The sequence below is a fragment of the Homo sapiens genome, chromosome 2 (genome assembly GCF_000001405.40).
Source record: "Homo sapiens chromosome 2, GRCh38.p14 Primary Assembly".
Classification (NCBI taxonomy): Eukaryota; Metazoa; Chordata; class Mammalia; order Primates; family Hominidae; genus Homo; species Homo sapiens.
In genome coordinates this window covers 172,474,734-172,490,075 of record NC_000002.12, presented here as the reverse complement: position 1 = coordinate 172,490,075, position 15,342 = coordinate 172,474,734, and the positions used below count along the sequence as shown (strand labels likewise).

Below are 15,342 nucleotides of genomic sequence, written 5' to 3'. Positions count from 1 at the left end.
GCATAAAAAGCTTTCAAGGTTACTTGCTGAGATGCCATTATCTTTTCCAATGAGTTTGGTTCTACTTGGAGTGAACACTGGCTGGCCCCTGGATAACAGCAGCTACTATTACCCCAGGAGCATCCCCCAGTTCTCCTTATTATGTAACATACTGGGTCATGATGAAACATCAGAAAATACCATTTGCCTCAGCAAGCACTGAATGACTCTGCCTTATGTACTATAATGGTCATTAACCAGCAAAAATGCCTCAGCCTCCCTCAGTTACCCAACTAGAAAAGAGAAATTGTGACAACCAAAGAGAAAGTCAACCTGCCAGAATATGCCACTTTCCTAAGAACAGTAATGATTTTCCCCTAACAAGTTAGTTTCTCTAATTTGCATTTATGGAGACATTAGATAAATCTACCGACATACCGTTAGGTTCAGGGAGTTTATCTCCTTTTGTGGCTCACAAGTTACCTTTTCCAATCCTTTGGATTCTACTTTCACCAAATAAAGCAACCATTTCCCATTGCTAATTTCTTTTGGCCACTGAATGTTCAAGGTTGCTGTGCCGAGGTTTGTAAGAGGTTTACCTAAGTTTATTACCTGTTAGAAAATAATACATATTATCTCAGTCTAATCTTCTCAATGTAAATTTAAGTAGCAGCTCCTTTTACCAAGAGAAAGAAGCTAAAATATCTAACGTAATCCTATAATAAAAGCACAGGCTCCAAAAATGGACTATAGATAGGGCATTCAAAATAAAGACTTGTGCCTAAAGATTTTTGTAAATAAAAACAAAAAGGTCAAAGGACAACTGATAGCTAACTCGTTCTAGGAACAACTGCTGTATGCAACAGAATCAGCAGTGTAGATATACCATGTTCTCAACATACGCCCAGGGAAAATCATGTGTGAATTTGTGAACTGCCCTGTAACCACCCTGCTTGGCCAATGACAAGTCCTGGGCCAAGGCAGTGTACCAACAACCTGCTTCTGGAAAACCCCATCCACTGCAAAAATGAAGCTGCCTCTGTCCCAGAGGAGATTCTGCAAAACCATTATTAGGACAGCCATGAATCTGAGAGTCCAAGCTGGGAACAGAGTGACGTCCTGCGGCAGAAGCCAAACACAGGAGGTAAGAGCCCTCTTGGTGTCGAGACTGTTCCAGAACCCAAAGACTTCTTTTCCAGCTGCACCTGCATAGAGATCATAACCACCACCACCACCTGCCCCAGCTGTGTCTATAATGCTAAGAGACACACAGAGGAGAATTCAGCCTCTTCATTCTGCCGGAGTCAGGTGGGCCCATGCTTGCCATTTGAGGCTTTCACCACAGTGGTCACTATGCCTTCAGGAATGTGATTTCAGCCACACAGACCTAAACCCATGTGTGAGTTACGAACAGACTCTGTACCCTATGTTTATGTTTATTCAACAGGACAGAGAGTCACTGTGATTGCCTACTTTGAAATGGTTCAGAGCCAGTCACTGCCTTTCCTACAGGCATATACCAAATCTACATTCACCACAAAAACTGGGCTTGTGAAAGGTAGGCATACATTAATATTCTTTCAACCACAAGCAGTGAGAAAGATGACCTTATAAAGGAGGAAGGAATAAATCATAACGCATTCTAAACTGAACTGGATTCTGAACAGTGACAATTGTTCTCCATCCTGGAGGATAAAATTTTTACTATAAGCCAGTATGTTCTTTAAAAGCTGGCAAACTAATTTTTAACTCATGATTTACTTACAATGCTTATTAATATTGCTGATTTATTAAAATGACATACTCAAGACCATACCTAGTATATGTCAGCTTTTGGTATAATGAAAAGACCAACTGCTCCAACTTACCCTGAATTCATACTCTATTAAACTTCCCACTTCATCTTCAGATTTCATAGCTTGCTCGCCAACAACTGTACCTCCAAAATACACCTGGGAAGGTTTAGCAACTCTGTCAAATTAAAAAACACCAGTTTTAATGAGGATTGTAAATGGTTCTTTCAAACATTGATTTGTTATGCTAAACACAAACACTTACCCCGAGACCGATAAAAGCAGTTCAATAACCACTTTTGCTTTAGCTGTAATTGGAGCCAAATTATCTTGATTGCTTGTTCTGAAAATGAAAAGGAAACAATAGGGTTGTATTTTACCAGTCAGTTTTCTCACTACAATTAGACTTCTTTTATGAGGTAGATCAGGGCCAATTCATTGACTGCCCATATTTTCATGAAATAATTCTGAATGGAGAGGTTGATGTAACTCTTACGTTTCTAACTTCAGATTAATATCCAGATCTGGGGTGTCAAAGGTGACTTCAGTTGTACTTAAAACCAAATAAAAAGTGACCTAAAAAAACATAAATAGCTGTTAACACAGGCCATGCATACAGACACTGCAATGGTATTTAAAACAGTAAAATACAGTATATGAAGGCATCACCTACATTTGAATTTCTTTTAAAAGGATTTCCGAGCTCACAGTCAGCTTGCGAGCCATTCTGGTTGGCAACACAACTCAACTGTTTCTCCTGTAAAAGAAACACACGCTAGGTCACAATCCACTCATTTGCCACACAGTGTTGATTTTTTTCCCCTCTCAGCTGGTCTCTAACAATACTTACAGGGAAAGCCCTCAGTTCTCTATATGCAGAATAGGTTAAAGTGTCTGGAAACGTTGCAATCAGTTTAGCCTCATGGGCGTCATCGCCATCTTTTGTGGGATTCCTTGGGTTGGAAGGGCTGTTTGTCACTGTTATTTCTAAAGCAATATCCTTCTGATCTTTTAGAACTAGTTCTGGTACACCTTTTTGACTATTAAAAATAAGAAAACAAGAACAAAAAGGCAAAGTCCTCAATACGTTTCCAGTAAACTTTCTTAACACAAAGCCACCATGAAGCCAGAATCATTTTTGCTAGTGCTACACAACGATTCTTACATTGGTAAATAAGAAAATTTGTCTTGATTTCCTTCTCGGGTGCAAAATTTATATTCTAGTTTAAGGTTGCTGTTACATACATTGTCGTCTCCACATCCCTCTTTTAAGAAGTGAACCTGTAGGAAAACGAAAACTATTGTCAATTTACACCATTCAGGACTCAGGAAGGCATCGATGTAGGTGACTGGCTATTCCACACAGTTCATTTCCCTGTGTGACAATTACCAATGCAGAATTCAAGCTTTAAATGTACTTTGCCACACATCAAATTTCCATTCTGTCCTTTAGTAAAATTGTGTTTGAAGAACACTTTGACCAGGGCATGGAGGCAGTGTGGTATAGAAGAGTGTGACCCAGCAGCCACACAGATTTGGGTTTGAAACGCAGCTCTACCCCTTACTTAGCTAGCAAGTCACTTAACCTTTCAGAGTCCAAGTTTCATCATAGGTAACGTGGAGATACCACCATTCTAACTTTATAGGGCTACTATAAGAAGTATCAATAATAATGATGATACCAACGATTATAATACTCGATTTACATATCTTAACTCATTTAATCCTCACAACAGGCCTCTAAAAAGATACTATTATTATGATCTCCATTGTAGAGATGACGAAACAGAGAGCTTAAGGTCAGGTAAGCAAACAGCATACTAGCACCATGCCAATGGGTTCTTGATAATCACACCGATAAATAGAAAATCATCTCTAGCTATGGAGCTGGGAATGTACACAAGTAATATTAACATGATAATAATAAAAGTACATAAAAGTATACAGAAATATAAGGAACTATATTTGGTGACAAAAATGATTGACAATATGCAGATGTAAGCATCAGCTCCTGAGACAGTGAGGACTCACTTCTGCAAAGCTGCCTCAGTAAGGCACCAGTACCAGCAGCCCCATAGTGGACAGACACTCATCATCAATTAGTTGTTTTTTTTTTTTTTTTTTTTTGGAGATAGAGTCTTACTCTTTTTGCCCAGGCTGGAGTGCAGTGGTGCCATCTCGGCTCACTGCAACTCCACCTGCCGGGTTTAAGGCATTCTCCTGCCTCAGCCTCCTGAGTAGCTGTGATTATAGGCATGCTCCATCATACCCGCTAACTTTTGTATTTTCACTAGAGACGGGGTTTCACCATGTTGGCCAGGCTGGTCTCAAACTCCTAACCTCAAGTGACCTGCCCGCCTCGGCCTCCCGAAGTTCTGGGATTACAGGCATGAGCCACCACACCCGTTCATCATCAATTAGATTTTGAAAGCAAGAACATAATGCCAAATCAAGCTGTCATAGCTGCCCGGGCTAACCTTGCACCTTAACCATCCTAAACCCCTAGCAAACAGACCCCACCTCATATGAGGTATCCCACAGGCCATCTAATACACATTTTTCTTCCAAAGATGACTTAGGCTATATTAGGCACTAAATGACTACTGTATGCTAATAATACTTTTTTGCTTTGCTGAATTTTGATATTCCTTGATTTTAATGTTCTGACTAGCAACACACTGCTTTCTACATTTCAGTATTCTCAATGGTAAGTAAAACACAATGTATTTTTCTTTCTATGTACAGCTAAAGGAGAAACAGTGTTAGAATATAAGCTCTACCATTTATAGTCTCGATAGGTTATAATGGCCAAAAATGAAGAAGGAAAATACGCTCTGGCCCCAAATTGTATTTCATGTTTTTATGTTTATTGCTAATTTGGGAAACAAGTCTTCTCTAACTTTGCGTACATTAAAAACATATTAACACAAAAGAATGGCCTTTAAAGCAAATCACTAGTTCTATTCCCTTCAAAGACATTTGATTTAGCATCATAAATGGCAAAAAAACTTTGGCAAAATGAAAGTCAGAGAGACTTACATCAATATGAGCTGTCTTGGGTTCATCTGAATTCAGAATTGGAAGAACTTCTGGAAGTGAATTCACTCGCCTACGAGAGCTTGGCTCTTGGATCTCCACTGAGGCAGTTATGGGAATGGGACGCAGTTTATCTCTGATATTATCCTGCATGAAAAGCATGCAGTCAGAGTTAAGTGGGGTGTACATGCTATTGGGGAATTCCAAAACAATGATTTTGTATTGATTAAGAGGTTGCCAGAATAAATTTCAGAAATCTGTATATCACCATATAACCTTTTTCTGTCCTCTTCATAAAACAGATGTGACCATCTGCAGCCCTCACCTGTAGCCACAGGGTTTCCTCCATGCACACTTTCTGTTTCTGCCTCTTCAGAGTTAGTTCTTGAGTATATTTGGGCTCAGAACCTTGGTTTCGAAACTGAACTCTTGAGGATAGCCCAGATTTTCTTCTTTCTTTTTCAGCTTCAAGTGTGCCCACAATTGCTAGATAAAATTAAAATCATATTAACGTAAGTGCATTCATGCACAATCCAGCCACAAGCATGTTGAACTCCTTTTAAGATTTTAATTCCTTGTAGAAAACATTGCCATTGTTTCTCTTCATATTTCCTGGTAATATGCATTTGCACAATTGTGATGGTTCAAATCAAGCTGTCTTTTCCTTCCTTTTGCTGTTAACAATGTTTCAAAGTTAAATTTTCATTGTGCCACCTGGGGGAGCTCAAGAATAAGTTAAAACCTTTCAGCAGCAGCAGTTATTAAGAATCAGTTTCTGGCTGAAGTTCATGAACCCACAGAATACTAACGATAAGCAGAGGAACCCAACACTCCCCCGAGCACCTAAACTGATTTTCTCCCTTTAAACCAGTCAATGCTTATTCAAGTGGCCTCGTGCCTTTGCTATCTGGGAAAGATCTCTAGAACAGCAGCATCTCCTGAGGGCCTGTGAGGATGCAGAACCTCAGGCCCAGTCACACCTACGGAAGCAGAATCTGCTTTATTAATAACAGCATCACCAGATGATTCTTATACGTATTAAAGTTTTAAGAAGCACTGATAAAGGATAGTTGTCTAAACAGAGGAATAATATATTTTAGAGATGGAGAAGTCTTTCGACAGTAGGATGAGACCTTTACCTTAACAAATAAAAAAGAGGATGGGCACAGTGAATTCTGCCTGGCATCCCAGCACTCTGGGAGGCCAAGGTGGGTGGATCACCCGAAATCAGGAGTTTGAGACCAGCCTGACCAACATGGTGAAATCCTGTCTCTACTAAAAATACAAAAATTAGCTGGGCTTGGTGGCGCATGCCTGTAATCCCAGCTACTCGGGAGGCTGAGGCAGGAGAATCGCTTGAACCCAGGAGGCAGAGGTTACAGTGAGCTGAATTCATGCCATTGCACTCCAGCCTGGGCAACAAGAGCAAAACTTTCTCAAAAAAATAATAATAAAGATAAAAAAGAATTACAAGGTAAATTATATATTTTTGAGTGGATGGAGGGCCTGTCGGTCAGCATAATATAGCTCCCACAACCAAACTGCCTACCTTGCACTGGGCTAGAAGGCACAGCCTGTTCTTGATAACCTACACTAATGGAACCTGGAGGGAAGCTAGGATGTGGATGATCAGAATCTCATTTTTTTACTTCAGAACGCATTCTTTGTTGGTTCATTAGATGTGGCTGCTAACTTTGTTTTTCATGGGCCAATACTTAAATTACTTACATTCATTAAGCAGTCACTAACCATCAAAAGGGAAAGCAAACCAAAGTGTGCAGAGGGCTGGAGAAGGCAATCTCCAGGACAAAAATCTGCTACAGAAAACACAGAAAATGAATAACTCACATTCTAATATTCACTTTAGAGTTGGAAGAGACCTTTTCTGGGGAGGCTTGGGGTCATACTGAGAGGGACAGAAGCAGCACCAGCTTCTGAGTCTCTATCACAAACACAAAAGGCGATTGCTTTCTACAGGGTCTTAGATGCCCAGGTCTCACTTGCCTCCTAACCACCGCAGGAGTCACTCCTTCCCTCAGCCAGCTGTCTTTCCCTTCTTTTCCCTTCCACCTCCCAGCAGTGTTGGCCTGCTTGGCTAAGCCCTCCCTTCCCCTTCAGATTTCAGCTTGGACCTCACCTCCTCCAGGAAGCCTGTCCTGGCCTCTCTTCGCGATCCTAGAGTATTCCATCTCTCCAGTCTCTACATTTAAGCCCACTACGCTGTGATTTCCTGATTGTCTCCCACAGTGGGGCAAAGCCGAGGACAAGGATCACATCAGTCTTATTCCCCACCACAGTCCCCAGCAACTAGCACAACACCTGATAGACATATGATTTATGGAACAGATGAACAGAAGTGGCAGTAACTGGTTCCCCACTTGCACACACATGCGCACACACACGATGTGACATTCTTATGCTGAATGTGAGCTATTCAGAACAAAATTTAGAAACACTGACAGTTTCAATAGTAATTTTTGTGTCCATCTGGAGAATTCTTAAATGTCACAGCTGCCAAATGGAATGCTCCCCCATTTTAGGCCTCTGCAGCCTTGACATCATCCATTTATAAGTGACCTGCTAGCTTCACAATGAACCAGATAAAGGCTCACACGCTGAGTGCCCCTCACAGCAAAAGTGCCCCTCACAGCAAAAGTATGGGAGGTGTGGGTGCAGGAAAACCGTTTATCTGCCAAATTCACTCTAACCTTCCCTAACCCTCCAGACAGTCCACATCATCTTAAAATCTTTGCAGGCCACCTTTGCTAACTGCTTGAGGGGCAAGCCAAGTAGAACACTCATTACGGCTCAATTATAGATATCTATATGTATGGAACACCACATCTGAGGACTGCTGAGCTAAAATAGCCCAGTCAAACAATAAGCTCACATTCTTGGCTACTGGGAGAAGATTTTAGATGTATTAACTTATGTAGCTTTGTAGAAGTTCTGTCTTAGTTCATTTAGAATTTACTGTGGAAGTAAAAGCAATGAAAGCAAATGTTCTTTGAATGTCTTCAAAGGAAAGTTCCACCCATAAAAGGCCATCCATAAACACTTGGTTAATGGAGTAGCTACATAACATAAAAGTAATACACATGGCATCAAATGCTGTGCTACAGCTAGGAGAAAGTCTGTATTTTATATAGGTGATTAATTTGGGGGAAGTCAAGGAGTGCTCTGATGATATTTCACATCTACAGTCAAACTGAGAGTGGTTTGAAAAAATGGCCATCAGAACAGAATAAAAATGTTTCCCCTTTTTCTCTGGCTGCCTAGTCAAAGAATCACTGTTTTCTCCTTGTCTCTCTAATTCATTCCAAACACTGGCAAAGGGCCCATTATCCAAGTGGGCTAGTGTAAGGTATGGCATTTGGGTAAAAATAACACAAATGATACTGAAAGGATGATAGATCCTGAAGAGTCACAGTATACATTTTCTTGTCATTAAAAGCCACACAAAGAATTGCTTTCTACACTCGACAAAATGCCGGCTGCATCAAAAAGCAAAGCAAAAGGCCACAGCTCCCCCTGTGCACGAAGTCATAATCCATCCACTCTAAGAATGCTTCGTGCAAGGTCTGCAGGTCCCATGGAGAGACCACACAGCAGGAGACGACCCCACAGAAGGGGAGACGGAGAAACCACCTGCAGACAGCTCGAAATCTGGAAAGATGAAGGCTAACTGAGCTTATGACACTGAGAATCAGGTGAAGGGGGACTTAAAAAAAATTAAAGACAGTACATTTATTTAAACTGTCCCTTTTCATAATTCACTGAACTTTATCACAGGTCAGTATCTTCATTCTGTTGTCTTAGTGGATACATTCATTAGTGTTATATAAAACTTCATATAAAGTTAAAGAAGAATTAGAGTACAGCTAAGAACAGAGCTGTGACGTGTGAGAGGATTCACCATTGCAAACCCTAGTCCTTATGTGGCTATTTTTTCCTGTTTCAAGCAACAACTTTAGGTTATTTGAATTAGGTTATATTCTGGAATATTATAAGGGACATCTTTTTAAATAAAGAAAACTACTACTTTAGATAACAGGGAGAACACTTCAGAGGACTCATTACCTCATAGTATCGTAAAGGCTGACAACCATATGAAAGGACAGAATGACCTTGTTCTTCACAAAGTGTCCCTTGGTGGCAGATACAGTACACTAGAATCCCAAACTGCCAGGACCATGGCCGGACCCGGGTTGAGAATTTCCTCATTCTTTTCACTTCCTCTTTGCAGAAAAGATTTTCTTGGAATTCCTATGCCCCTGGCCTTGACTCTGGAGCCAGGGGTCAGGTGACTCACAGCTGAAGAAGTGTGGCTGCTATTAAAACATGCCAGAGGAGAGCTTACGACGGCCACTATTGTTAAGAGTATCATTAACGGTGTCAAAATTCTTGTCAAAAATCCTGTGTTGCCCCATAAATATATACACCTACTATGTATCCACAAAAATTTAAAAAAATCTTACTTTGAATTACAAAAAAAGGAAGCAGAACAGTATCTAATAAATGACAAAGTGCTTTTCATGTCTTCTCAGTTGATCTCCAGCACAACTGTATGCACTAATGACTACTAGGCATTGTTCTGAACGGACAGGAAAGCAAACTCATATGTTAAGGGACTTGCCCTGTGGGTCAGTCAGTATCAAAGCTGAAACCAGGAGCAGAGACCAGGTCTCTGACCTCTCAGGGCCGGCTTGCAAATTCCCTAGGGGCCTGCTCTTGGGAACACAGGGCGGGTGTTCCGGGAGGGAGGGGCGTGGGGAAGAGAAGGCAGCCTGGCAGTGACTCTGTGCTGTGCTCTGGCTCCTGCCGTTGCCCTTTCACAACCACCAGCCACCACCCACCACCTCACAACCACCAGCCACCACCCACCACCTCACAACCACAAAATCAATTTTCCACACTGCTTTTCAAAGACAGAAATGGAGGAAATGGTTGTGGTAGCAAATAAGTACTTTTCCAAGCCATTCTGTCCTAAACCATCTGCTCTGGAAAACTCAAATGGCGACCAAGTGGAGTTTTTTTCCTCCCTCACGGTGCTGTGCCCTCCTGATTAAAAGGGAGACAAAACATACACTTAATTCTTTACACCAGAATTGACAGACCCATGTTGGCCACTGCAGTTTTATTTTTCTGTGATTTATGCAGAACTTTCAACCTGGCAGACAGAAAGTAGACATATTTTAAAGGTACTAGGTACTTACATATTGAAGGATTATAACCAGCGGGGTTAGCAGTATATTCAAAACAGGATTTAACCTGGAGGCTGAATAAAATCAAACACATATTTCTTAAAAGATCCATTATTGCAGTGGAAAAAACCCAACATGTTCCCTAGCTCTCCAATCCCCCCAATGCCCATTGATGATCAACATGTTATAAAAACACTTGACAGACCCTCTTCCCTTTGCCCAGCACTCCTGTCATCTTCCCTGTGGCTCCTCAGGACAATAGAGTCATCATGAAGTGGAGGTGGGAAACTGAGGGGGATCCCACCAAGACAGAGGGATGCTCACCATATCCCACTAGGCGCCCCACACGCTGTTTTCTGGCGGAGGTCAATTCTGTTAGGAGTTACTGTGATGGTTTTCTGAATATTAATCACAGGCCGGGATCTGAAGACAAAAGGAGTGAAAAACAAGCTCAGCCTCTGTTACCTTGAATGTGAGTCTAATTCACATACTAGAGAGCATCCTTAGCTGCCCAGCACAGCTTAAAAACACAGGAAAAAAAATACACGTGACGTTTTCCCCCATTGCTGAAGAAAATAACTGTTAATAGATATAAATGTATACAATGCAGAGCCTCATTATACAATATTTGTTTAAAAACGTACACACTTATGAGTACATGTGCAACATGTGGGGGTTAAAGTAAATATTTTGTCTCCATTCCCACCCGAACACCCAAGTAGCCTTGTATGTTCTTCCAGACACGTCAGTTAAAATTATCTAAAATTAAATATTAAAATATATGTATAATTTCAACTAAATGGGAACTTAATTGCCATTGTTCTGTATGTGGCTTTTTCTCATCCATTTCAGAGGTCTTGTCCTGTATATACACATAGATCTAGTTCACTGTTTTTCACACCTGATGGCGTTACACTGTATCAGTGTAACATCCTTTATTTAACCAGTACCTAATCGGTAGACATTCACGTTGTTGAGCTTTCTGCTTTCACAAACATCATCTGTGCACACACTTGAGTTTATCTGTGGGATAAATTCCCAGCAGCAGAATTTTGGAGTCAAAGAATATGTGCATTTTTAATTACGAGTAGTCTTGCCAACATACCCTCTGGAAGAATTACACCAACAAACACCTAATACCTGAGATGCTCATGATCAGCGTGTCTACAGTATGTGAATTAATACAGGCAATCCTGAACTTGGGAGTCTCCATTGTACAAACACTTGCCCTTCTCTTCAGCCTCCCTCGGAGTCTCCCACCCACAACCTTCAGTCTTTGCCTTCCTATTGCCAGGATTGACAACTTTTCTACCCCCACGATATCTCTGCAAGCAAAAACTTAAACTTTTAAACTTCTTCCCATCTCTGCGCTGCCTACTGCAACCCCGCAAACACTTGAGAAGCTGGAATCCAATTCCACGCCCTACTCTGGTTCACCATCTGAAAACATCTTTTCGTATGTTTTGGCTGCCCTGCTCCCAGCAGCCACAGGGGTCTCCACGGGTCTGTGGCCCAACTGCTGCCACAGGCACAAGAAATGCAGGTATGCGGTGGGTTGAGGGGTATGAGTGGGTGAGGAGGCCCACCTCCATTGCTCCCCACCAGAACTCAGAATGGGGCCTGGGGTTTCATTACCACGTGGATTCAGTTAGGCTGACTCTGATGGGCTTGTGGTAAACCCAGCCATTCTGGAGAACAGTGTTTCTACAAGAAAATGCATTCCAAATCCCAAACAGCTAGCTCGAACTTCTGGAATCAATCTGTTGGTAGGCTAGAGCACAAGTCCATTCACAGTGAAGGTAGGGTCCAATAAAGGGTCAAATACTGCCCACATTCCCTGTTTTTCCATTTTCCTTTATTGTTTACCATTCTATTTTTATTTTACATTTAGACAGCTGCTAGGTTCTAAGATACTAACTAGATACATTCTTAAGTTTTGAGAGCATATTTAAAAGGCACAGTTGCCACAGATATAGTATTTTACATACTGTAGAATTTTAACAGACATTTCTGCCTAGAACATATTTTGTTTTTTAAACATACAACACACAATTTTGAGGGCAAAATATACATGAATTATGAAAACTGTGTCTTTTAACATAGAAAATAAGTCTTATTAGTTTGGCTGCCTCATGTTTAAAATTGGTGTTTATTTACTAACTACCCTGAAGTGCTAGTACAATTTAGTAGAAAAAATGCACAGGATTCAAGTCAGGAAGATTTAGGTGCTACATTCTGTCCTCTCAGGCTCCAGCCTTAAAAGCTCAAGCCAAGTCCTGGGCCTCAGTTTCCTCATTTGTAAAATAAGGGGAAGTTACTCCTCTTCTTATCAAAGGGTTGTTGAATTCTACTTTCACACTATCTGCAAGTAAAGAGGGAACAAGTGTACAGGGTTGACAGTCAACCTACTTATGAGGACAGGAAAGTAAGGATATTAAAATATCAGTTACACATAGACAGGGGCAAACATTTAACTGACTAAAGTTAAGTCATCTATTGTATTGACAAGGAGAGATAGCCCAAGATTAAATAAAAACCAGATTAGACAGCAGAAGTTACAGTGTAGCCTTTTGATGATACCCTAAAAGTAGAGAAATGCACACAAGTTTTGTGGAAGATGGGAATAATGTACTGGATTTTCTATAATTCTATATTATTAACTTTAAAAAAAATAAATCTGCTACTTTTTGAAAATTAAAAAACAAACCAAAAAAAGCCTCCAATTTTTAATGGTGATTTCCAGCAGTGATGAAAGCGCTGGTTAAAGGGAGACTCAAACACCACGGATGGGAAATGTCGCACCATTTTGGGAGGTCATCTTGGCGAAACCGAATCAAAAGTCTTGAAGCACATATATCAATTTCACATCCAGGAATTTATAATAAGGAAATAATCAAGGATATAAACAAAAGTAAGAATGTTTTCCACAGCTTTTTATATCATGGGAGCAAAAAAAAAAATTGCGAAGCAACGTAACCATCCAGTGAGAGCAAGGCAGTTGGTTAAATAAGCTCTGAACCTGTCAGAAGATGCCTCACAGACAGTTGTTAACTTCATTTTGGAAAAGTACTCAGTGACATAGGAAAAGTCTACTATGTATCCTAAAGAGACAAAAGCAGGTTACAAAATTATGCACAATTATGGTCTTAATTTTGTTAAATATACATGGTCCAATCACAGAAAATAAAATAGAAATCAAGATCTTGGAGTTTAATAATGCATGGTGAATTATAGGGGGTTTCCTTCTGTATGTTCTTTGTACTGTCACATTTTATATGTGTTTTGTTTTTTTCATCATCAAAATTAAGGTTTTAAAAATATATGAAGTAAAAATTCTAACTTGGATCTATGTTTTCCTCAGATACTTTAAAAGATTTTAGAAAATAGGTTGTTATTACATTGTTTACTAACTTCAAAAGAAAAAGAAATAGCTTCACAATTCATATAAACCTTTGAAGTATAGGTATGACAAATTTCAGTCCAAAAGGTCAACATTTTAGTATAACCTGATTATAGAACATGCTTAACACTAAAATCATAGATAACAGACCTGAAAATAGTTACTGAATCTGAGAGGGAACCAACAGCAACATCAGGGTAGGAATTTCGATCAAGGTCCATGTTTCCAGCAATTGAATATCCAAAATAAGGTGATATACCCTTGAGAACCTGAAATACACAGGGCATCCGAATGGACATTAGGTTATCACCATGAGCTTCTTAACAATGCTTTGAAAAAGACACACAAGTTTCTTTTGAACTGAAATTTGAGAGTTCACTTATAAGTAAATTATATTATATACAAGTCATAAATTTCTATATGATCTAACACTTCATACATTTCATTTCATAAAAGTCATCCGATTTACATAGTATCTCAAAGCAGAAAAGAGCCCATTTCTGATGAGCTTGTTTATTGTATTAAGTCAATCAGGCCATTTCAAACCAAATCTCCCTACCTTCCCTACAAGTCTTATTTTTCTCAAAAGACATTTTTAATTTTTGGTGTCTACATTCTCCATGTAGTTACAGTCATTTATTTTGTTTGACCAATTTCATCTCTATTTAGTATGCTACTAAAGAGAATATATCGTATTTCCTCTTATCTTAATGCCGTCAGGGTAGAATAACATTCATTTGCTTTGGATTACCTTGATTCCTAACTTATCTAAGAAATTTTACAATTAGAACAAGCAAGTCATTACATTTATATATTTATTTTGAAGGTATCTTCTAGTAATACATTTTTAAAAAATTTATACTATTGTGGACTTGTAAATAAAATAAGATTTGTGTGAAAAGTCACTTAAACCTAAATATTTTATTATAGGGCAAAAAGTTGAGACTCTAGCTGTAGAAATCCCGGTTATTTGGTTACCTGTGTTGGTTTGGTATTTATTCCATTTGCAGATCCATGATAGATAAAAACCTTTCCCAAGTCATCATACGGAGCTCCAACTGCAATATCTGTTGACAACATCACATTTTAACATTTTAACAAACGCTTTAGAAACACTCTAGTAAAATGTTTTAAAGTAAGATGACACAAGCACTATTATTTATTTGTTTGGCTTTTTCGGGGTTTTTTTTTGTTTTTTTTGAGATGGAGTTTCGCTCCTGTTGCCCAGGCTGGAGTGCAATGGCGCAATCTTGGCTCACCGCAACCACTGCCTCCCGGGTTCAAGCAATTCTCCTGCCTCAGCTTTCCAAAGCTGGGAGTAGCTGGTATTACAGGCATGTGCCACCACACCCAGTTAATTTGTATTTTTAGTTTCTCCATGTTGGTCAGGCTGGTCTCGAACTCCCGACCTCAGGTGATCCGCCCACCTCAGCCTCCCAAAGTGCTGGGATTACAGGCGTGAGCCACTGTGCCCAGCAGCGCTATTATTTAAACAATCAAATAATCTATAAATCATAGCCATTTCATAATCTATTATCTACCTGGGTAGCCATCTTGATTAATATCTCCAATATTTTTTACTGCAATGCCAAACATAGAATCTTTGGTTCCATTAAGACGAATTGGCTTCACATTATTCCATCTGCCTTGCTGGTTCATGTAGACATACACTGCACCTCCAACTTCTCCATCTCTATCAAAATACTGTGGGGCTCCAATAACTATATCTTGCCACCTAAAAACATAATGAGGGGAAAGAGCCGTGAACCAACAGCTAACATACCAGCAACACCAGTCTAGGTACTAAGGATACAAAGACATATAATAGAAAGGCCCTCAACTCCAGAATTTATGACTCAATTATAACATTTTTTAAAAACCAAGGTAGCCTATAATAAACGCCCCAAGAAAAATACTAAGGGTAAGAACT

At 39.8% G+C, this 15,342-nt stretch overlaps 1 protein-coding gene and 1 long non-coding RNA gene across 21 annotated transcripts in view; one reads left to right on the top strand and one right to left on the bottom strand.

The window, feature by feature from the left end:
- The window catches only part of ITGA6 (integrin subunit alpha 6), a 79,124-nt gene that overhangs the window by 16,384 nt on the left and 47,398 nt on the right, over positions 1 to 15,342 (bottom strand). For 6 of the 10 annotated variants that reach the window (XM_017004005.2, NM_001316306.2, XM_047444221.1 and 3 more), the window contains 14 exons: positions 14,954 to 15,147; positions 14,391 to 14,479; positions 13,563 to 13,681; positions 10,337 to 10,435; positions 10,025 to 10,086; positions 5,134 to 5,294; positions 4,812 to 4,955; positions 2,938 to 3,053; positions 2,623 to 2,812; positions 2,446 to 2,529; positions 2,269 to 2,348; positions 2,038 to 2,115; positions 1,848 to 1,950; positions 418 to 591 (listed from right to left, as the gene is read on the bottom strand). In XM_017004005.2, coding sequence (XP_016859494.1) covers positions 418 to 591; positions 1,848 to 1,950; positions 2,038 to 2,115; positions 2,269 to 2,348; positions 2,446 to 2,529; positions 2,623 to 2,812; positions 2,938 to 3,053; positions 4,812 to 4,955; positions 5,134 to 5,294; positions 10,025 to 10,086; positions 10,337 to 10,435; positions 13,563 to 13,681; positions 14,391 to 14,479; positions 14,954 to 15,147 — 1,693 coding nt within the window. The remainder of the gene's footprint in view (positions 1 to 417; positions 592 to 1,847; positions 1,951 to 2,037; positions 2,116 to 2,268; positions 2,349 to 2,445; positions 2,530 to 2,622; positions 2,813 to 2,937; positions 3,054 to 4,811; positions 4,956 to 5,133; positions 5,295 to 10,024; positions 10,087 to 10,336; positions 10,436 to 13,562; positions 13,682 to 14,390; positions 14,480 to 14,953; positions 15,148 to 15,342) is intronic. The other 4 variants (XM_017004006.2, XM_047444222.1, NM_001365530.2 and 1 more) reach the window with 1 other exon arrangement.
- The window catches only part of PDK1-AS1 (PDK1 and ITGA6 antisense RNA 1), a 92,199-nt gene that overhangs the window by 66,389 nt on the left and 10,468 nt on the right, over positions 1 to 15,342 (top strand). For 3 of the 11 annotated variants that reach the window (NR_199660.1, NR_199659.1, NR_186177.1), the window contains one exon: positions 9,055 to 9,344. The exons of 6 other annotated variants lie outside the window; for them this stretch is intronic. This is a non-coding gene — a long non-coding RNA (PDK1 and ITGA6 antisense RNA 1). Of the gene's footprint in view, positions 1 to 1,426; positions 1,538 to 8,262; positions 9,345 to 15,342 lie in introns of those variants that run through there. 2 more of the 11 variants (NR_199657.1, NR_199658.1) reach the window with 2 other exon arrangements.